General features: G+C 38.2%; 1 protein-coding gene across 4 annotated transcripts in view; it reads left to right on the top strand.

Moving 5' to 3' along the window:
• The window catches only part of FARSB (phenylalanyl-tRNA synthetase subunit beta), an 89,194-nt gene that overhangs the window by 54,283 nt on the left and 14,961 nt on the right, over positions 1-19,950 (top strand). For all 4 annotated transcript variants that reach the window (NR_130154.2, NM_005687.5, XM_011510466.3 and 1 more), the window contains one exon: positions 1,727-1,882. Coding sequence is in view for 3 of the 4 variants with exons in the window: in NM_005687.5 (NP_005678.3) it covers positions 1,727-1,882 (156 nt within the window). In the remaining variant the exon portion in view is untranslated. The remainder of the gene's footprint in view (positions 1-1,726; positions 1,883-19,950) is intronic.

Here is a 19,950-nt window from a genome sequence, read left to right as displayed (position 1 = left end):
TGCCTATGGTCCCAGCTACCCTGGAGGCTAAGGTGGGAGGATTGCTTGAGCCCAGGAAGTTGAGGCTGCAGTGCACTTTTATATTATTTGTGGTTGCGCCAGGGTGGGCAACAGAGCGAGACCCTATCTCAAAAAATAAAGTGAAATAAAATGAAATATTGAGTTTGTAAGTTTGTTTTAGTTTTCAAAGTAGAATAATATATACTAATCATGGAAAAACTGGGAAGTAAATAAAAGTTGGAAAAAATTATCCTTGCCCAAACATAACCTCTGTTAACATTTAGGTATATTTCTTTTCAGTCTTTTTCTCTGTTCATGGGGTTTTTTGGCTTATGGCTATATTTATGTAGTTGTGATTCTGTTTTTCATCTTTTTATTATTATTATTATTATTATTGTAGAGATGGGGTATTGCTATGTTGCCCAGGTTGGTCTCAAACTCTTGCCTTGGCCTTCCAAAGCGCTGGGATTACAGGCATGAGCTGTTTTGCCTGGCCCTATTCTTCATATACTTTAAAAAATTATTATTATTGTGGTAAAAAACATATGAGAGCTACCCTTTTAGTAAACTTTTAGAGGTGCACAGTTACAGTAGTGTTAACTATGTGCACGTTGTTGTGGGTCTCTAGAACTTTTCATCTTGCATGGCTAAACTTTTATACTCATTCAATATCAATTCCCCATTCCCTTTCCCTCCAACCCCTGGCAGCTACCTTTCTACTTTCTGTTTCTCCGAGTTTCATGACTTAGATACTTCATATAAATGGAATCATGCAGTATTTGTCTTACTGTGAGTGGCTTATTTAATTTAGCATAATGTCCTCAAGATTCACCCATGTGGTAGCATAGCTTCATAAACTTTAGTATTCTGCTTTTTTTATGCTTTGTGAAGAATGTATTCAACATAGGTAGTTTTTAAAATATTACAAAGTACACACTAGTGTAACCATCAGCCACATTAAGAATGGAACATTGCCAGTATCCTAAGCTTCTTATATGACCCCTCCCCATCACAGATTCTTCATTTTAACCTAGGGTAATTGTTAGCCTAACTTTGGTCATAGTCATTACCTTACTTGCTTCATAGTTTTCCAATCTATGTTTGTTCTTTAAACAATGTAATTTAGTTTTGCCTCTTTTTGAACCTTGTGGTCTCTTTTTAATTTTCATTTACTATGATAAGTATTTGCTGTTGCTGTGTTATGATAAACCATCATAAAGATGCTTTCTAATAGCCGCTTAGTATCCTGATGAGTGATTGCACTGTACTTTATGTAGCCATCCCTAATATAGGTTGTTTATAATTTTACTATTGGAAATAATGTTGTAGTAAATGTCTTTCTACATAAAGCCTTTTTGAATTTAGGATTATTTCCTTTGGGTAGTATTAATATTATGAATAAGAGAGTATGAAGCTTTAAGGCTCTGATATATTGGTAAATTGTTTACAAAGAATTTTACCAACTTATACCTCAGTGAAGCCTTATTTTCCCTGGTCAGCATTGAGGGTTTTTCACTCTTTCCCCCAAATAAAACACCTTAGGGAATTTGATGAGCTGAAAAAAGACTATTTTATCTTATTTTGCATTTGTGAGGTTGAATCCTTCTCTGAATGTTTAATATTTGGTTTTCTTTTTTGTTGACTTTTTCTAAGTTTGTACTGGGGTAAATCAGTTTCTTAAGCAATGGTTAATACAGCGTTGTGACCAGTTCCTTTATTTTTCTAGATGTAGGTGCAAAAAACTACAGACATCTCTGTGCTGTTTATTACAACAAGAATCCTGGGTTTGAGATCATTCATGGGCTGCTGGACAGAATTATGCAGTTGCTCGATGTGCCTCCTGGTGAAGACAAGGGGGGATATGTGATCAAAGCATCAGAAGGTAAGACAGATGAGCCGAATCCAGAGTTAGTGACAGTGTCAGGAAGAGGCTACACCTTGTTTTTGATGAAGTTGGTAGTTTTGATTTGGGATTTTAGAAAGAAAGGGAGAGTTTTATTTCAATTAATTGTCAATATTATCCAGAAAATATCCCCTTTCCCTCCAGCATTTTAAGAAAACACTTTTCAGAACTCTCGTAAGTGCTGCACAGTATACTTTCGTTCCAACTGAGCTGTAACCCCTAGTTACTGGCACCTTTAAGCCATCAAAATGGCTAAATCACTGGCACCTTTAAGCCATCAGCACATGGTGAACCCAGAAGTTTTAACTGGAAGCTGGTAAGACCTAAAGTGATGGTTTGCACTCAAAAGCTGCCTGTCTGATGGCTTTAAGACAAAAGAAAAAAGAAAACAAAAACAAAAACCTCAGAAGTTATTCTGAAAGATTTCACACATGTTAATCAAGTCATAAAGTTTGCAGAGCAAGGGTGGGAATCCTCGTGTATAAAATCCCAAGTACAGTAAAATCTTTGTTGGAGAGTTTAAGCTAGGCTAACTAAATGGTATATATGTGCTCCTAATATTCTATTAATAGTTTCTCATTATCCAAGGAACTCTGAAATTTTTGCTTTTCATATTTCTGCAGCTTCAATCTAAATTTATTTTGTTAGATGAAAGGTCCAGAAACAACTTGAGAGAAATATTTCACCACTTATTCCTACCGTTTACCTCACTGTGCTTTATAACTCTATTTGGCATCTTAAATTTCTAACAGAACATTTACTTTTAAAGTGTTATTTAACAGTTAGTAATGAGATTTGGTGGGGTAATATGTTTTTTTCTTTTATTTATTAGTCCTCAGGGATTGTTTTTGTTGGTGGTTGTTTAATTTTTGTTTTTGTTTTCATTTTGAGACTCCTTTGAAAATAACCCTGAAATCTATGGGTTTTTTTAGATTGAAGATGTGTGTGGTTCTTTTTTTTTTTTTAAATAAATGAGAGATTAAATAAGCAGGAAGTTGTTTCTTACCCACTTTCCATGAGAAATAATAAAATGCAGACATTGTTATGCTTGTGGAGTTCTAGATGTTAGAACTGGATTTTGGAGTTCATCCAGCCCACGAGCCCGGTTTTATGAGTGAGGGAACTGGGGTTAGGCAAGTTAAAGAAGCCGGAGCCGGGTCATGCATGTTGACCCCACAGCTTCTGCCTCCCAGTATCCTTGCCAGTGTTGTCTGCCTTTTTAGTGCCTGTATATACTCATTCACCAGTTTACCATCCTAGAATTTTGCTTTAAGACCAGGTCATCCAGGCTTATGGCAACCTGTAAGCTGATGTGAAGCATTTCTTTTCCTTCCATGCACAATCTTCTCAGAAATCTTATTTCTTAAACAGTTTAGCTAGATAAAAATTTGATGCAGATTGCGTCCTGAACGTGAGGTCCAATTTCTTTCATACTTGAAAGGTTGCAAAGAGCTGAAATGGTAAATGAGAGCATAGCTTGTGGTGGATGTGATGCTTTGTGTAACCTTTAGATGGATAATATTTCTGTAAACTGGTATCTTAATATTGTGACTTCTCCTGCTTCAATCAGTTCCTTAGATATTTATTTATCAGAAGAGTGTGAGTTCCTAGTTATAAGGCAGACTTCAGAAAAGACAATGATAAGTAGGACACAGGTGCTGCTGTCAAGCAACCAGCCAGGGAAAAGACCACCACATACCGACCCTCAAACCAAGATGTTAAAATGATTGTCTTGATGTTTCCGAAGAGGAAGAAAGTGCAACTTCTTCAGGGCATCCAGAAAAACAATAGGGAGTTTCTGCAAAGTGAGATGGGCCTTTGGAAGAATAGGTGGAGACAGGGGAAGCAAGGCAAACTAATGATAGGAAACACAGGCTGTATGTTTGGAAACACAGCAGACAGTGTAGTGTGGTTTGGCTATAGGGTGAGGAAGGAGCTTGAAACTATATTTGGAGTCTTGAATGCTAGGGAAAGGCTGCAGCTAGTTAGGAGAAAAGCATTAAAGCTTCTTTTTTTTCTTCTTTTAAAGCAGGTAGGTGATATTAGATCTGTACTTTAAAAGGATTAATTTAGCAGCAATATGTAGGTTGGGTGGGATGGAGAGCAGAGGTGAAGAGAATGGTGGGAAGGGATTTTAGCACATTGTAGAGGAGTGATAATGAGGACTTGGCCTGGATCGTGCTCATAGGATCCAAGGAAAGGACTGATTTAAGAAACCTTAAGAAGATAGAAGCCACAGCATTCATCATTTGGAAAATTTTGTGATAGTGCCACTTGGAACTTTTTGTGATACAGCTAATTTGTGTTGATCTTCTGCTTAAAAGTCAGGTTTTTCTAATTCTAAACTTATGATGTTATAATTTGAATTCCATATAATTTAGCACCCATACAGAATATAATACTTAGTATCTAGTTTCCTAACATGTAGATGTCTGCTGTTTTTGTTTAGAATTTTTTTTTTTTAATTAGGAAATACACATTCCTAAACTGTCACTACTTCTGATGTGGTTGTAGGTCTTTATGTTCAATTTTGTTAGGCCAGGTTGTTATTTTGGTTTTTGATTTAGCATGAATATTTACAGACTCAGACTTGTGGTTCCTTTTGAATCTACATTGGCTGTCATAGTAGAACATTGTAATCTTTTGAAGTTTTTCCATGTATGAAATGTCCAAGATTTATGAACATGAAAAGCTTTTTACACATGGGCAGCCTGAATCAGTATGTATTTCAGTATATCTAACGGGCTTTCTTTGGAAAAGGGCAGGAGATTTACTTTCACCCCCTATCACCATCATTGGCCGCATTAGTCTCTTGGAGTCCTGGGCACACATCTAGCTCTGAGTGCTTTTTTTCTCAGGGTGCTTTCTGCAAGAACCATCAAGCCACAGAGAATTGGTATCATTACAAATAATGGTTCCTCATTTCTCATAGGGATTTCTGTTTTGATTATCTAATGGCAAGTATGATTATCCTTTTTTGTTTATGGTTGAAGAAAACAATGTATAAAGAAGTGGCTTGTCAAAATAAGTCAGTAATAAAGTTGGTATTAAGTTTTTCATCTAATATATATGTATGTGTTTGTGTGTGTGTATATAAAATACACACACACGTACACACATACATACCACAACTAAGGAACAAAATTGTTTTTCAGACTCCTAAGCAAATCAGTAAACACAGGAATTTTGTTACTGGGGCATGTTTAGCTGCATCATTTCCTCCAGTTTATTGTTATTTTACATACAGCTTTTTCAACTAAGAAAAGGTCTTCAGAGTATTAAAAAGTAGAGTGGAAGCAGATTAAGAACTACTGTTCCCTGCCATTCTTGATTACTGAGTTGTCTGATATTACTCTGGCATATGGCTTACTTTTTAATAATTAAAAATCTCTAGTGGCTTTGCAGTTATAATTGAGCTAAGTCTGTTCTCCAGAGATTCCTGCATATGTCAGTTACGTCGGCACTTATACCTATTTCTTCCTGTCCTTTTAATGTACACTACTAAGCTTTCTTTTGTACTGCTTTGTTTGGTGGTAGGGATGAATGGAACAGAACTCGATTCACCTTTGAGAAACCTGGCTCCGTGCGTTATAAGAAATCTGGAAATTCATCTGATTGATCTTCGCATTAACCTATGGAGTTTTGTTGACATTGGAGCGTAACCTTGCTTGTTATGCAGGGGGCAGTCCTCTGCAGCATGTGGAGTATCTGCAAAAGCACCCAGAAAGCCCGTAGTTGTAGCTAGAGTGAAAAGCCGTGGTCCCCTGGTCTTACATATTTCTTATTTGCTGAGCATCCTTGCAGTTAACAACTTGAGATAGAATGTCAAGTTGATGACAGAATAAGATCAATGTTGAGTGGGAAAAAAAGAAGAACCTTTAACTTTTTAGCAGACTGCAGAGCATTTTAAGAGTTTCAAAAGGGTTCAACTCCAAATATTTTAGTGGCTTTGGATCAGATTATTATGGCATATATATATATATATGCTTTTTCTTTTTTTCAGGCTTCTTCCCCTTCATTTTTTGTGGTTTGTTGCAAACTTAATTATGTATGTTAAGAGGCATCTATCCTTTTCAAAAACCACTTCTGGGCAAGGAAAATTCTCCACATTTTTGTATTTGGAACAGTTATGTGGTTGCCGGGCAGATCAGTGGCAAAAATTATTTCTTGTAGAATGTATGGGCTTTGTGTGTGATTGGCTGCGTTGACTTGAGCCTGTGATTTTTTTTCCCCTTTAGCTTGTTACCTATTTCAGTTTTGATTATTTACAGTTCTACAGAAAACTTGAATTTAACTTGTGACAAGATCCCTGTTGGAGAGACAAAAGGTTTAGAACTTTAGTTTTGACAATTCTAGTTTTCATGCTGCTCAGAATACATTTTGTGAAATGAAAAATAACCTTGTAAGTAATATGCACATTTAATCCTGTACCATCTGTATACACAGTGGGTAGTACCTTCTGCTACAGTAATACCTAATGACCTGGAGTTCATGACCTTTTTCCCCTTTCAGGACACCTGTGAAAGATTTCAGATGCTAAAAAATATGGGTGAAATTGTGATGTTTCCCTGGTCATCACACTGGTTTTTAGTGTAACATGAGCTTGGAAATATATGAGAAAAATATCTATTGAACAACTTGTTGAAGTAAAAGTGTTCAATTTATGGTTTGATTTATACAAAACATTCTGGACTATAATAAAGGGAGATCTTTCTAGCATGCCCACATTTAGTTACCATCAACAAATAAATTGTGAAGACAACAGGTTGAAAAAAATTGGAAGTTTTTAAGCTTCTGACCTTTGGTTAGTCTGTATGGAAACAGTTTTGATTCCTCTGGATGTCTGCTTTTTTGTGTTTGAGGCAAGCTTTCAAATACTATCATTTTTCTTAGCTTCTTTGAAGGAATTAAAAGACAAAGCAATATTAAACAAATAAGCAGTGATTCCTACACAGTTGGAATAGTGGTATAACACAGGCACTGTTTTTATAGAAGCTTCAGCAATCATCACATGAGTCACTTAGCCCTGCCTTGTTTTTACTGCTCTTGCCTCACTCTCTTGTATGCACAAGGCAAAGTTCTCTCCACTCATGTTCACTTAACTCTTTTTGAGGGGTAGGTATTTTGATGTTTTCGTGATACTTTAGTACTTGTAGCAAATTGGAATAAAGTCCCAAGATGAATGGCTTGGTCAGCTTGGTATTCCCTCTGATAGATATTGTAGTAATAGTGTTTCTTAACCTTTTTAAAATTAATCTCTCCACTAAGGGCCTTTTTTAGATATTTTCTTTTTCCTTAATTGCTCCTTCATGAAATTTTAATACCACAGATTCACTATATATATACTGTATATATGTATTATTATGTACTGTACGTATAGCTGTGCTGTATACATAAAAATAGTAAGTGTAAAGCTTACTTTTAAAAATTTCGATGCAGGGTTATCAATAACTAAGCAAAATTTTTAAGTTAAATTTAAAAATGATTAACATTTCACTTTATATCTGCTGGGTAACTCTTAATGTTATTTATTTACTTACATAAACTGTAGTGTATCAAATTATATTTGCCAATCAGCAATGTATACATATAGTAATAGTAATAAAAAATTATAAAAATCATTCAAAACTTATTTTAGCAAAAGTAAAACAGTTGTTATTTTTTGAGACAGGGTCTTGCTGTGTTGCCCAGGCTAGAGTGTAGTGGCATGATCATGGCTCACTGTGATTCTCCCGCTTCAGCTACCCAAGTAGCTGGGACTACAGGGCATGCCACCATGCTCAGCTCTTTTTTTTTTTTTTTTTTTTTTTTTTGTAGAGGCGGGTTTTTGCCTTGTCACCCAGGCTGGTCTTAAGCTCCCGGTATCAAACAATCCACCTGCCTTGGCCTCCCGAAGTGTTGAGATTATAGGTGTGAGCCACCACGCCCAGCTAAAATAATTTTTAGTGAATTAACTTTTAACTTTTCCTTGATATAAGAAAATAACTTTTATCTAGTTGATAGATATTGTCAGCATTTTTTTCTTTTGAGTACTTTTTGTTGTTGTTGAGACAGGGTCTCACTCTGTCACCCAGACTGGAGTGCAGTAGCGCCATCACCACTTGACCTCCCAGGCTCAAGTGATCCTCTCACCTCAGCCATCAGTGTAGCCGGGACTACAGGCACGTACCACCATGCCTGGCTAATTTTTGTTTTGTTTTGTTTTGTTTTCTTTAGAGACAGTTTCTCTGTGTTGCTTAGGCTGATCTTGAACTCCTGGCCTCAAGTGATCTTCCTGCCTTGGCCTCAGGTGTGAGCCACCACGCCTAGTCTTTTGAGTACTTACCATAACTAATGATGTGTTAAATAACCTTTTGAATTAAATAGTAACATATAAACTATTTTTGTTTAATTATCAGAGCCTAAGCTACACACAAAAGCTCTAAAGATCAGCCACAAGGCAGTCAAATGGCCTCCCATTCAATGTGACTTGGAGATCTAGCAATGGATAGAGTCTTCCAATCACAGCCATCTGCTGCCATAGTTTTATAGCAGTGTTCTTGCACACATTTACTGTATCTTCCATATTAATGTTGCTTGTGGGATACCCAAGAAAACACAATGAGAGGAATTAAATACTGAGGAGTAAGGTTTTTGTCAAGTAGGGCTCAGCTTTGGAGCAATGCAAACCATTTTAATATGGAAGATTTTTTTCATACCCCCCTGCCCCGCCCCTTTTCCTCTAAGAACCAGTTCCGCCCCTGTGGAAAATGCGTGCTATAACATAATGAATACTTTGGAATTATAGTAGTCTCCTCTTATCTGCAGGGTATACATTCCAAGACCCCCGATGGATGCTTGAAACTGCAAATAGTATTGAACACTATATATATGATACGTTTTTAGTCTGTTAACCAAGACAGCTACTAAGTGACTAACGGGCAGGTAGTGTATACACTGTGGACACACCGGACGAAAGGAAGATTCATGTCCTGGGGAGGTCAGAGAGGGACAACTCTACTCAGTTTTTCATCATGCTACTCAGAAGAGTGCACAAGTTAAAACTTAGGAATGATTTATTTCCCTAATTTCCCACTTAATATTTTCAGACCTCAGTTAACCACGGAAAGTGAAAAACTGCATATAAATGGAGACTACTGTATTTACATCCAGCTGTATATACTGGGCAAAAAAAGAGGAAGATATTTTCATTTACCTCATGGTCCTCTCTTCTCTTCTGCATCCATACTAGATCTTGGCCTCCACTATTCTATAGAAAACGATGTTGTGGCCCAAATACAAAGAATTATAAAAGAAGTTCATTTTTAGCTTGTGATCTTTCAAGGGCCCGGGTCCTGAAAGTTCAAAGGATTTTTAGGATGATTCTGATTACTCAGTTTTTATCTTATACATGTGAGACAGATTTACTTTCCTCAGGTATCAGCAGTTTTATGCATTGGCCAAAATGGGGCAGCACTCGGTTTTGGCACATTTGTGTGCTGCAGCATATTGGTTAAGAGTCACTGTCCTGGGAATTCCTAGAACATGATGTATTCTGATAAACTGTCAACGCTCTAAGTGGCCAGTTCCAGCTCTACTCCAGAAGGATTAAGAGAATGGATGGATGGGTGGCTGGAAAGAAGGAAAACACATTGAATAAATCCCTAGGTAGGGATGGTAATGTGGAGTGATCTCCTGAGCACATGACCACAAAAAATAAAGGCCTTTTTCCCCTGGAGCACTTACTATGGCTTTAACAAGAGAGAGAAATAAAACTTCCATCTTGTTTAAACCATTGCCATTTGGGAGTTTCTTTCTTAAAGCTGAAACTAATCCTCACTTACAAATCATATTTTAATTCCTACTTGCCGGAACCCCTTGGCAGTATTAAGATGCCATCCAGCTCTAAACTGAATCAAGTTTCAAGCTAACTTCTAAGTTATTTTAAAATTCTTAGTGAAATTGTTCATTCTCATTCATTGCCTGTCCCCACTATAACCCTTTATTTTGAACACATTTAGATGGCTCATTCTTGTATCTACATGTAAAGTGTTTTCCTGGACACACTTTAAATTATTGCCTTTAAGGTTATTACTGGTAACCATTGGCATTTATTTCCAGTTTGCATTTGCATTTGCTAATGAAGGCATTGGCCACTCCCAGGAAATATGTTTTAGAGGACTGGCTTTTAAAATGTCTTCTTGGCTCCCACTGATAAGCCACTTAAAAAAAAATTGTATATATGCTTCCAAGTAAGATTTGAACAAAGGGTTACCTGTCTTACAAAAGTTTGAAGCCCACCCTTGTAGAAAATGAAGAAGTTTATGAATGCTACAGCAAAGATGATTAGGCATTTTTATTCTTCTCTTTCTACCTTACTTTCACTTGCTTTTCTTTTGTGTGCTGTGATTATGAGTACTAAGATTGTAGCAATACCAACTCATCATATCACATAGAGGTGGTACATTGTGAGTGTGAAAAGTGATTGATATCTGTCTAGCTATTCATAAATCAATTAAATTTCAGGCTTTGGGTGTTCTCTAGTTCCGGTTGCACAGGAACTCTAGGTGCTTGAAGGTTTTTGACATTTCTGGATACTGGAAAATTAAGAGTAATTATTTTTCATTAACACCGACTTAAAAAGGAATGTCTGCCAGAACATTGATGGTTCAGCTCGTATTTCTTTCTTTTTCTTTCTTTCCTTTTTTTTTTTTTTAAGAGACAGGGTCTCACTCTGTTACCAAGGCTGGAGCACCCTGGCTTGATGATCATAGCTCGCTGTAGCCTCCAACTCCTAGGCAAAAGTGATCCTCCCATCTCAGCCTCCCCAGGTAGCCAGGACTATAGGTACACACTACCACACCCAGCTAATTCTTTTATTTTTTAAGTAGATATGTCCAGTGTCCAAGCAAATGAGTTTATTGAGTTTATCTATGTTCCAAAAGTCCCATCTCCATTGATGTGTTCACATTTAGTTATTTCCTTTTCTATCAAGGTGTAGGACTAGGGCAATAATTTTTTTAAACTTTGTTATTATAAAAAATTAAAAACATACATAAAAATAAAGAGACTAGCATAATAAGTCCCGATGTCCCCATTGTCTAATTTCAACAATGATCAGTACAGAGTCAATTTTGTTTCATTGGTACCCTCACCCACTTTCCACACTACTAAATTATTTTGAAGCAAATCTAAGACATTGCATTATTCCCAGTTGTAAATACAACAAGATGCATCTCTACAATACAGGAACTCCTCTTTTAAAAAGCATAACTGCAATATCATCACACAAAATTAACAATAATTTCTGAATATCAACAAGTATCCAAGTATCCAGTCAATGTCCCCCTTTCCCAATTGTCTTTTTTTTTTTTTTTTTGGCCTAAAAGGGTAGGATATCTTTTTTTTTTTTTTAATACTGTTAAGTTCTAGGGTACATATGCACAATGTGCAGGTTTGTTACATATGTATACATGTGCCATGTTGGTGTGCTGCAACCATTAACTTGTCATTTACATTAGGTTATTTCTCCTAATGCTTTCCCTCCCCCTTCCCCCACCCCATGACAGGCCCCGGTATGTGATGTTCCACTTCCTGTGTCCAACTGTTCTCATTGTACAATTCCTACCTATGAGTGAGAACATGCGGTGTTTGGTTTTTTGTCCTTGCAATAGTTTGCTGAGAATGATGGTTTCCAGTTTCATCCATGTCCCTACAAAGGACATGAACTCGTCCTTTTTTATGGCTGCATAGTATTCCGTGGTGTATATGTGCCACATTTTCTTAATCCAGTCTATCATTGATGGACATTTGGGTTGGTTCCAAGTCTTTGCTATTGTGAATAGTGCCGCAATAAACATACGTGTGCATGTGTCTTTATAGCAGCATGATTTATAATCCTTTGGGTATATACCCAGTAATGGGATTGCTGGGTCAAATGGTATTTCTAGTTCTAGATCCCTCAGGAATCGCCACACTGTCTTCCACAATGGTTGAACTAGTTTACAGTCCCACTAACAGGGTGAAAGTGTTCCTATTTCTCCACATCCTCTCCAGCACCTGTTGTTTCCTGACTTTTTAATGATTGCCATTCTAACTGGTGTGAGATGGTATCTCATTGTGGTTTTGATTTGCATTTCTCTGATGGCCAGTGATGATGAGCATTTTTTTCATGTGTCTGTTGGCTGCATAAATGTCTTCTTTTGAGAAGTACATGTTGATATCCTTCGCCTACTTTTTGATGGGGTTGTTTGATTTTTTCTTGTAAATTTGTTTAAGTTCTTTGTAGATTCTGGATATTAGCCCTTTGTCAGATGGGTAGATTGCAAAAATTTTCTCCCATTCTGTAGGTTGCCTGTTCACTCTGATGGTAGTTTCTTTTGCTGTGCAGAAGCTCTTTAGTTTAATTAGATACCATTTGTCTATTTTGGCTTTTGTTGCCATTGCTTTTGGTGTTTTAGTCATGAAGTCCTTGCCCATGCCTATGTCCTGAATGGTATTGCCTAGGTTTTATTCTAGGATTTTTATGGTTTTAGGTCTAACATTTAAGTCTTTAATCCATCTTGAATTAATTTTTGTATAAGGTGTAAGGAAGGGATCCAGTTTCAGCTTTCTACATATGGCTAGCCAGTTTTCCCAGCGCCATTTGTTAAATAGGGAATCCTTTCCCCATTTTTTGTTTTTGTCAGGTTTGTCAAAGATCAGATGGTTGTAGATGTGTGGTATTATTTCTGAGGGCTCTGTTCTGTTCCATTGGTCTATATCTCTGTTTTGGTAACAGTACCATGCTGTTTTGGTTACTGTAGCCTTGTAGTATAGTTTGAAGTTTGAGGTAGCATGATGCCTCTAGCTTTGTTCTTTTTGCTTAGGATTGTCTTGGCAAGGCAGGCTCTTTTTTGGTGCCATATGAACTTTAAAGTAGTTTTTTCCAAATCCGTGAAGAAAGTCATTGGTAGCTTGATGGGGATGGCATTGAATCTATAAATTACCTTGGGCAGTATGGCCATTTTCACGATATTGATTCTTCCTATCCATGAGCATGGAATATTCTTCCATTTGTTTGTGTCCTCTTTTATTTCCTTGAACAGTGGTTTGTAGTTCTCCTTGAAGAAGTTTTTCACATCCCTTGTAAGTTGGATTCCTAGGTATTTTATTTTCTTTGTAGCAATTGTGAATGGGAGTTCACTCACGATCTGGCTCTCCGTTTGTCTGTTAATGGTGTACAGGAATGCTTGTGATTTTTGCACATTGATTTTATATCCTGAGACTTTGCTGAAGTTGCTTATCAGCTTAAGGAGGTTTTGGGCTGAGACGATGGGGTTTTCTAAATATACAATCATGTCATCTGCAAACAGGGACAATTTGACTTCAGTTTTCCTAATTGAATACCCTTTATTTCTTTCTCCTGCCTAATTGCCCTGGCCAGAACTTCCAACACTATGTTGAATAGGAGTGGTGAGAGAGGGCATCCCTGTCTTGTGCCAGTTTTCAAAGGGAATGCTTCCAGTTTTTGCCTATTCAGTATGATATTGGCTGTGAGTTTGTCATAAATAGCTCTTATTATTTTGAGATATGTTCCATCAATACCTAGTTTATTGAGAGTTTTTAGCATGAAGCGCTGTTAAATTTTGTCAAAGGCCTTTTCTGCATCTATTGAGATAATCATGTGGTTTTTGTCTTTGGTTCTGTTTATATGCTGGATTACGTTTATTGATTTGCATATGTTGAACCAGCCTTGCATCCCAGGGATGAAGCCAACTTGATCATGGTGGATAAGCTTTTTGATATGCTGCTGGATTCGTTTTGCCAGTATTTTATTGAGGATTTTTGCATCGATGTTCATCAGGGATATTGGTCTAAAATTCTCTTTTTTTTTGTTGTGTCTCTGCCAGGCTTTGGTATCAGGATGATGCTGGCCCCATAAAATGAGTTAGGGAGGATTTCCTCTTTTTATATTGATTGGAATAGTTTCAGCAGGAATGGTACCAGCACCTCTTTGTACCTCTGATAGAATTTGGCTGTGAATCCATCTGGTCCTGGACTTTTTTTGGTTGGTAGGCTCTTAATTATTGCCTCAATTTCAGAGCCTGTTATGGATCTATTCAGGGATTCAAATTCTTCCTGGTTTAGTCTTGGGAGGGTGTATGTGTCAAGGAATTTATCCATTTCTTCTAGATTTTCTAGTTTATTTTCATAGAGGTATTTATAGTATTCTCTGATGGTAGTTTGTATTTCTGTGGGATCGGTGGTGATATCCCCTTTATCATTTTTTTAGTGCGTCTATTTGATTCTTCTCTCTTTTCTTCTTTATTAGTCTGCTAGTGGTCTATCAATTTTGTTGATCTTTTCAAAAAACCAGCTCCTGGATTCATTGATTTTTTGAAGGGTTTTTTGTGTCTCTAGCTCCTTCAGTTCTGCTCTGATCTTAGTTATTTCTTGCCTTCTGCTAGCTTTTGAATGTGTTTGCTCTTGCTTCTCTAGTTCTTTTAATTGTGATGTTAGGATGTTGATTTTAGATCTTTCCTGCTTTCTCTTGTGGGCATTCAGTTCTATAAATTTCCCTCTACACACTGCTTTAAATGTGTCCCAGAGATTCTGGTATGTTGTGTCTTTGTTCTCATTGGTTTCAAAGAACATCTTTATTAATGACTTCATTTCGTTAGGTACCCAGTAGTCATTCAGGAGCACGTTGTCCAGTTTCCATGTAGTTGTGTGGTTTTGAGTAAGTTTCTTAATACTGAGTTCTAATTTGATTACACTGTGGTCTGAGAGACAGTTTGCTATAATTTCTGTTCTTTTACATTTGCTGAGGAGTGCTTTACTTCCAACTATGTGGTCAGTTTTGGAATAAGTGCGATGTGGTGCTGAGAAGAATGTATATTCTGTTGATTTGGGATGGAGAGTTCTGCAGATGTCTATTAGGTCCACTTGGTGCAGAGCTGAGTTCAAGTCCTGGATATCCTTGTTAACTTTCTGTCTCATTGATCTGTCTAATGTTGACAGTGGGTTGTTAAAGCCTCCCATTATTATTGTGTGGGAGTCTAAGTCTCTTTGTAGGTCTCTAAGGACTTGCTTTATGAATCTGGGTGCTCCTGTATTGGGTGCATATATATTTAGGATAGTTAGCTCTTCTTGTTGAATTGATCCCTTTACCATTATATAATGGCCTTCTTTGTCTCTTTTGATCTTTTGGTTTAAAGTCTGTTTTATCAGAGACTAGGATTGCAAAACCTGCTTTTTTTTGTTTTCCATTTGCTTGGTAGATCTTCCTCCATCCCTTTATTTTGAGCCTGTGTGTATCTCTGCATGTGAGATGAGTCTCCTGAATACAGCACACTGATGGGTCTTGATTCTATCCAATTTGCCAGTCTGTGTCTTTTAATTGGGGCATTTAGTCCGTTTACATTTAAGGTTAATATTATTATGTGTGAATTTGATCCTGTCATTATGATGTCAGCTGGTTATTTTGCTCATTAGTTGATGCAGTTTATTCCTAACATCAATGGTCTTTACAATTTGGTATGTTTTTGCAGTGGCTGGTACCGGTTGTTCCTTTCCATGTTTAGTGCTTCCTTCAGGAGCTCTTGTAAGGTAGGCCTGGTGGTGACAAAATCTCTCAGCATTTGCTTGTCTGTAAAGGATTTTATTTCTCCTTCACTTATGGAGCTTAGTTTGGCTGGATATGAAATTCTGGGTAGAAAATTCTTTTCTTTAAGAATGTTGAATATTTGCCCCCACTCTCTTCTGGTTTGTAGAGTTTCTCCTGAGAGATCCGCTGTTAGTCTGATGGGGTTCCCTTTGTGGGTAACTGGACCTTTCTGGCTGCCCTTAACATTTTTTTCCTTCATTTCACCCTTGGTGAATCTGACAATTATATGTCTTGGAGTTGCTCTTCTTGAGGAGTACCTTTGTGGGGTTCTCTGTATTTCCTGAATTGAATGGTGGCCTGCCTTGCTAGGTTGGGGAAGTTCTCCTGGATAATATCCTGTAGAGTGTTTTCCAACTTGGTTCCATTCTCCCCGTCACTTTCAGGTACACCAATCAAACGTAGATTTGGTCTTTTCACATAGTCCCATATTTCTTGGAGGCTTTGTTCATTTCTTTTTACTCTTTTTTCTCTAAACTTCTCTTCTGGCTTCATTTCATTCATTTGATCTTCAGTCACCTTTCTTCCCCTTGATCCAATCAGCTACTGAAGCTTGTGCATGCGTCACATAGTTCTCTTGCCATGGTTTTCAGCTCCATCAGGTCATTTAAGGTCTTCTCTATGCTGTTTATTCTACTTAGCCATTCTAATCTTTTTTCAAGGTTTTTAGCTTCTTTGCGATGTGTTCGAGCATCCTCCTTTAGCTCAGAGAAGTTTGTTATTACCGATCTTCTGAAGCCTACTTCTGTCAACTTGTCAAAGTCATTCTCTGTTCAGCCTTGTTCCATTGCTGGCGAAGAGCTGCATTCCTTTGGAAGAGAAGAGGTGCTCTGATTTTTAGAATTTTCAGCTTTTCTGCTCTGGTTTCTCCCCATCTTTGTGGTTTTATCTAATTTTGGTCTTTGATGATGGTGACCTACAGATGAGGTTTTGGTGTGGATGTCCTTTTTGTTGATGTTGATGCTATTCCTTTCTGTTCGTTAGTTTTCCTTCTAACATTCAGGACCCTCAGCTGCAGGTCTGTTGGAGTTTGCTGGAGGTCCACTCCAGACCCTGTTTGCCTGGGTATCACCAGCGGAGGCTGCAGAACAGCAAATATTGTAGAACGGCAAATGTTGCTGCCTGATCCTTCCTCTGGAAGCTTTGTCTCAGAGGGCCACCCGGCTGTATGAGGTGTCAGTCGGCCCCTACTGGGAGGTATCTCCTAGTTAGGTTACTCGGGGGTCAGGGACCCACTTGAGGAGGCAGTCTGTCGGTTCTCAGATCTCAAACTCTGTGCTGGGAGAACCACTACTCTCTTCAAAGCTGTCAGACAGGGAAGTTTAAGTCTGCAGAAGTTTCTGCTGCCTTTTGTTCAGCTATGCCCTGTCCCCAGATGTGGAGTCTACAGAGGCAGGCAGGCCTTGTTGAGCTGAGGTGGGCTCCACGCAGTTTGAGCTTCCCAGCTGCTTTGTTTACCTACTCAAGCCTCAGCAGTGGCGGATGCCCCTCCCCCAGCCTTGCTGCAGCCTTGCAGTTCGATCTGGGACTGCTGTGCTAGCAGTGAGCGAGGCTCCGTGGGCGTGGGACCCTCTGAGCCAGGCATGGGATATAATCTCCTGGTGTGCTGTTTGCTAAGACTGTTGGAAAAGGGCAGTACTAGGGTGGGAGTGGCCTGATTTTCCAGGTACCGTCTGTCACGGCATCCCTTGGCTAGGAAAGGGAATTCCCCGACCCCTTGTGCTTACTGGGTGAGGAGATGCCCTGCCCTGCTTTGGCTCACACTCCATGGGCTGCACCTAGTTTCCAGCAAGTTCCAGTGAGATGAACCTGGTACCTCAGTTGGAAATGCAGAAATCACCTGTCTTCTGCATTGCTCACGCTGGGAGCTGTAGACTGGAGCTGTTCCTATTCGGTTATCTTGGACCCCAAATTCAGGGCAATAATTTTTAAAACTTTTTTGGGGGGAATTGGATGGAAACTCCCTTTAAGCAACTTCTATAACTGAAGTCCCCATTTTGTTAATTTTTTATTTTGAAATAGTCAAAATTTATTTTAAAAATGCAAGTGGTATGCAAAATTTTTTTTTTCTGAACTGTTTGAGAGCTAATCTGATATCGTGTTACCCCTGAATACTTTGGTGTATATTTCCTATAAACAAGGACATCATTCTCTATAACCATAATAATAATCATCAAAATCAGATGAACATTGAAGTTTATGTTAACCACCATTTAACCCTCAGGCCCTATGCAAGTTTTATCAATTGTCCTTTATAGCTGTATTAGTCCGTTCTCATGCTGCTATGAAGAAATATCCAAGACTGAGTAATTTATAAAGAAAAGAGGTTTAATTGACTCACAGTTCTGCATGGCTTGGGAGGCCTCAGGAAACTTAAAATCATGGTGAAAGGCATTTCATCACAGGGCGGCAGGAAAGTGAGTAAAGGGGGTGAGAGTGAGTAAAGGGGGAAATGCCTCTTAAAAAACCATCAGATCTTGTGAGAACTCCCTTAATATCACAAGAACAGCATGGGGATAACTGCCTCTATGTCTCAATTACCTCCCACCCAGACCCTCCCATGGGGATTATGGGAACTACATTTCAAGATGAGATTTGGGTAGGGACACAGCCAAACCATATCAATAGCAAAGAGTCACTTGTTTTCTTCAGCCATCATGTCTCATTAGTCTCCTGGTGACTTCTAGAATAGTCTTTTCTTCACTTTCATGACCTTGACACTTGAAGATTACAGGCCAGTTATTTTGTAGCATGTTCCTCAATTTTGGTTTGTCTGATGTTTCTTCACTAATTAAATTCCTGTTAGGCATCTTTGGAGGAATGGTAGAGAAGTAATGCTAACTTCCCAATGCATGCTATGAAGTGGCACGCAATTTTCATTTATCCAATAACTGATAATGTTCACTGTAATCACTTAATTAAGGTTGTAGCTACCAGTCATCTGTACTGTAAAGTTATTCTTTTCTCCATTATAATTAATAAATGTCTTGTGGGGGAAGAGCTTTGAAATTATGTAAATATACTGTTTCTAATCAGTTTTCCTATATACTTAGTTATGTCAGTATGGACTCATTGCTGCTGATTTTAGTCAGTGTATTTAGATCCATTACAGTCATTTATTTTGATGCTCAAATTGTCCCCAGTTTGGCCAGCAGGAGTCCCTTGAAGCTGGCTTCAGTTTGCTTTTAACATGTTCCCCTCCCTGTGTCCATGTGTTCTTGTTGTTCAACTCCCTCTTATGAGTGAGAACATGCAGTGTTTGGTTTTCTGTTCCTGTGTTAGTTTATCTCTTTTTCTTTAGTGAGAATCTTGGTTCCTAGTGAATTTACATTATTGCTCTTTTTTTTTTTTTCTTTTGGAGACATAGTCTTGCTCTGTCTGCCAGGCTGGAGTGCAGTGGCGTGATCTCGGCTCACTGCAACCTCTGCCTCCTGAGTTCAAGCAATTCTCCTGCCTCAGCCTCCCGAGTAGCTGGGATTACAGGTGCCTGCCACCACACCCGACTAATTTTTTGTATTTTTAGTAGAGATGGGGTTTCGTCATGTTGGCCAGGCTGGTCTTGACTCCTGACCTCAAGTGATCTGCCTTCCTCGGCCTCCCAAAGTGCTGGGGTTACAGGCGTGAGCCACTGCGCCCGAATTTACATTATTGCTTGTTTGCTCATTCTGTTTATCTATTTATCTATCATAGTTTCAAAATAAAAATACTATTATCAACAATATGATTATTGAAAGCAGCTTAAAATTTATCCTTATTACTTTTTGTACTTAGAATATAGGCTATAAATAAGGGACGTAGAGAGAACTCTGGCTTCCACACCGTTCCCTCCCTGCCTCTATAGGTTATGATTTTTATTAGTTTTCAGTTTATCCTTCTGATGTATGTGTGCACACACCTGTGTGTGTGTGTTCATATTCTCTTCTACTCTTTCAGCTGAGGGGCTGATACTTTACACACTGTTCTGTACCTTTCTTTGTTTTACCTGACAGCCTACATTGGAGATGATTCTGTAGCAGCATATAGAGATCTTCCTCCTTTCTTTTGACTTCTCTGGGGTACTTCATTTTATGGAGTTCCACAGTGTAATCAACTAATTTCCTGTTGATTAACATTGAGTTGTTTCCAATCTTTTGCTATTACAGATTGTGTTACAGAGAATAGTCTTGTGCATATGTTATTTGGTAATGCCACTGTATCTCTGGGACAGATTCCTAGAAGTATGGGATCACTGGGACAAAGTAAATAAATTCATATTTTCACTAGACACTGCCAAACACCCCTCCATAGGATTTCTAGTTCCAACGTTGTACAAACGCTGCAGCAACACTTGAGAGGACTTATTTCTCCACAGCCATGGTCACCAGACTTCTTGTCTTTGCCAGTCTTTCAGATGGGAAATGGTGTCTCACTGTAGTTTTAATTG

This window comes from Homo sapiens, chromosome 2, assembly GCF_000001405.40.
Source record: "Homo sapiens chromosome 2, GRCh38.p14 Primary Assembly".
Classification (NCBI taxonomy): Eukaryota; Metazoa; Chordata; class Mammalia; order Primates; family Hominidae; genus Homo; species Homo sapiens.
The sequence above is the reverse complement of the archived record's forward strand: the minus strand, read 5'-3'. Positions and strand labels throughout refer to the sequence as shown.